The sequence below is a fragment of the Homo sapiens genome, chromosome 7, assembly GCF_000001405.40.
Source record: "Homo sapiens chromosome 7, GRCh38.p14 Primary Assembly".
In the NCBI taxonomy this organism is placed as follows: domain Eukaryota; kingdom Metazoa; phylum Chordata; class Mammalia; order Primates; family Hominidae; genus Homo; species Homo sapiens.
The window spans coordinates 23,277,027-23,280,489 of NC_000007.14; the positions used below are offsets into that span (position 1 = coordinate 23,277,027).

General features: G+C 43.7%; 2 annotated features.

The window, feature by feature from the left end:
- Positions 511 to 570: a silencer, noted in NCBI's record as "silent region_18007". NCBI's record gives its function as "represses an Ori minimal core promoter by ATAC-STARR-seq in GM12878 lymphoblastoid cells {active_cell/tissue: GM12878}" and the evidence as "EXISTENCE:reporter gene assay evidence [ECO:0000049][PMID:35858748]".
- Positions 581 to 630: a silencer, noted in NCBI's record as "silent region_18008". NCBI's record gives its function as "represses an Ori minimal core promoter by ATAC-STARR-seq in GM12878 lymphoblastoid cells {active_cell/tissue: GM12878}" and the evidence as "EXISTENCE:reporter gene assay evidence [ECO:0000049][PMID:35858748]".

Genomic DNA, 3,463 nt, shown 5'->3' on the forward strand with positions numbered 1-3,463 from the left:
GTGACTACTGAAGCTCTGGGCATGGACATGAAGACAGAAGACTATTTGAATCCAGCCCTGCCACTGAAGTCTGAGTAACTCTGGGCAAGTTGTTTGACCCTTCCTGAGCCTTTCCTTTCTCAGTCTCCTCATCTGTAAAATGGGTATGTCTGCCCTCCTTGGCTACTTCACAGGGCTGCGGCACATGCATCTGCCCGAATGAGTGGGCATGGAAGCACCCTGTTTATGGCATGGTGGTATGTACTCCATGTGAGGCCTGAGGACGGAAGCAGTGTGGAGAGGCTGTATCATCTTTATAATGACTAGGAGGCCAAGACATTAGTACCTAAAGCAAAAAAGTAATTTCAAATTGCAGCAGAATCACCTGAAGTTTGGTTAAAACACATATTGCTGGGCCCACCCCCAGAGCTTCGAATTCACTGTTCTGGGGTGAGGCCCCTTAAGGCTTTCTAACAAGTTTCCAGATAATCCTGCTACTGCTGGGTGGAAGGAACTAACGTTGAGAAATTTGGTCTTGAAATCCGCTCTTTCCTTCCCTTATCAACAGGGGGTAGCAGAGAGCAGCAAATAGACAGTCATTCTTTGAGGAAGCAGGTCAAAATCCTCATCAAACCTCCCTCAGTTTCAATCTAACAAGTGGCAGGAGAGAGGGCTGAAATAGTGAATTATTTAAATTTATATTATCCCTATGACCCCAGCAACAAGTCATTTAACTTGTGCTGAATCACAATTTGTGAAACGGGGGAAGCAACCTAAAAGATAGTGAGATAATTTGATTAATGTTTGTTGAGCGTTAGAACTTCCAAAGAAAATTGAAATGTATAGGTAATAAATTATTCTGGGAATTTCTTATTCTTGGGACTTTTTCTAAATGTCTGCATTTTAAACACTTCTGACTCATTTATAAACATTGGTTGCCCTCATTGAATTTTCAATTGTTTAATAGTTTAGAGGGCAATACGTTCAATGCACTCATTACATCCAGAATGTGTAGCAACTTCAAACCAGAGTGACAGTGTAAGGGCAGATGAGAAGGTGGTCATCCAGGGGTGATGGTGACCACATTCTGATGGGGCTTTTGGTGGGGGAAAATCCTTTAAGGTTTTTAAAAGAATGGTTCCAAAGCTGCCAGAATAGTTACCTTAAAAAATCAGAGTTCAGGCCGGGCGCAGTGGCTCACACCTGTAATCCCAGCACTTTGGGAGGCCAAGGCGGGCAGATCACCTGAGGTCAGGAGTTCGAGACCAGCCTGGCCAGCATGGTGAAACCCCGTCTCTACTAAAATTACAAAAATTAGCTGGATGTGGTGGCAGGTGGCTGTCACCCCAGCTACTCGGGAGGCTTGAGAATCGCTTGAGCCCAGGAGAAGGAGGTTGCAATGAGCTGAGAGTGCACCATTGCACTCCAGCCTGGGTAACAGAGTGAGGCCCTGTCCCAAAAAAAAAAAAAAAAAAGCAGAGTTCAGCTCCCAGGAATCACCCCTTGCAGACTGATTTCAATTATTCAACTGTCATTTACTGGGCACCAGTATGTCCCAAGCTCTTGTCTAGGAGAGGACTCAATAGTGACAAGAGAGACAAGGACTCTGTTCTCATAGAGCTTGGATTCCAGACTAATGTAACATGTCACCGCACAAGTGTCACTGCAGGAAGAGCGCTAAGCTCTGACCCGGAGTCCCCCATCTTGGTCAACCCCACTGGCCTCAGCTTAATCTGCAGGGACAGTTCCTCTGCTGCTTAGAACTGAACAGCCATTCCTATTGTCCTTGAAATTCTGGAATAAATTTTTTCTTTGGCGCTCTCCCATAGGCATTTTGGGATTTGGGTACCTTAATGGTATATTAGTATTTAACCAATTTTCATTCTATGTATAATTTTCTCACAAATGTCATGTCATCTCACTAATCAAAATGTTTCTCCAGTTTACAATGTAACTGCCATTATTAATTTCACTGCATGGGTTTGTTGTTTTGTTTTATTTTGGTTTTGAGACAGGGTCTCACTCTGTCACTCAGGCTGGAGTACAGCGGTGCGATCTCAGCTCACTACGACTTCCGCCTCCTGGGCTCAAGCGATTCTCCCACCTCAGCACCCCAGAGTAGCTAGGACCACAGGTATGCACCACCACACCAGACTAATTTTTGTATTTTTAGTAGAGATGGGATTTTGCCATGTTGGCCAGGCTGGTCTCAGACTCCTGAGCTTAAGTGATCCACATGCCTCAGCCTCCCAAAGTGCTGGGATTACAGGGAGGAGCCACCATGCCTGACCTATTGTATAGGTTTTAATGATGCAAATTAAGTATCAAGATTTGGGCTTATTGAGTCCTTAATTTTAAAGTGTTTATTTTTTATTTTATTTTTTGAGACAGAGTTTTGGTCTTGTCACCCAGGCTGGAGTGCAATGGCACAATCTCGGCTCACTGCAACCTCCGCCTCCTGGGTTCAAGTGATTCTCCTGCCTCAGCCTCCTGACTAGCTGGGATTACAGGTACCTGCCACCACACCCAGCTAATTTTTGTATTTTTAGCAGAGGCGGGGTTCCACCATGTTGGCCAGGCTGGTCTCGAACTCCTGACTTCAAGTGATCCACCCGCCTCGGCCTCCCAAAGTGTTGGGATTACAGGCATGAGCCACCACGCCCAGCTAAAATGTTTATTGAAATAAATTCCTTTAGAGCAAAAAAAGATTAGCCACTGATGAGAATGTGGCAGAAGGATTTTGTGGCTGTGGATATGGCTTCAAAATTTGATTTTTGGAATTGAGTAGAGGAAGATAACTAGGACTTACATTGAGAGACCTGAGCTGCAGCAAGATGTCTTAGCTAGATGACCTGAAACCAGTCATTCTCCCTTTTCTCTACTGCAGCCTCCTTATCTGCAAATTGGAGGCAAGAAGGTGGCGAGGGAAATTAAACTGGGTGAACTCTAAAGTCTCTCCAGGTTCTCATGTTCTACTGTGCAATATGGGGAGGATAATATTACCCAGTTTCCTTATAGAGATGTCAGGAGGATTATATTCTAAATCAGGGGTTGGCAAACTGCAGTTTACCGGCCAAAGCCAGCCCTCTGCCTATTTTTGTATGGCATACAAGCTAAATATAGTTTTCATATTTTTTAATGGTTTGGGGAAAAAATCAAAAGAATGATACCATTTTGTGACACATAAAAATGACATAAAATTCAAATTTTGGTGTCCATAAATGAAGTTTTGTTGGAACACAGCCACATTCATTCATTACATATTGTCTCAGCTCTGCTTCTGCATTGCAACAGCAGAGCTGAGTAGTGTGACAGAGACTGCATGGCCTGGGAGCCCTAAAAATATTTACTATCTGGCTCTTTACAGAATGAGTTTGCTCATCTGTGTTCTAAAGCATGCTGGACTCCACTTAGAACTGAACTGGGCAAACAAGATTTATTCAGAGAACTTCAATTATGTGAGACATAATTTTCTTTCTTTTTA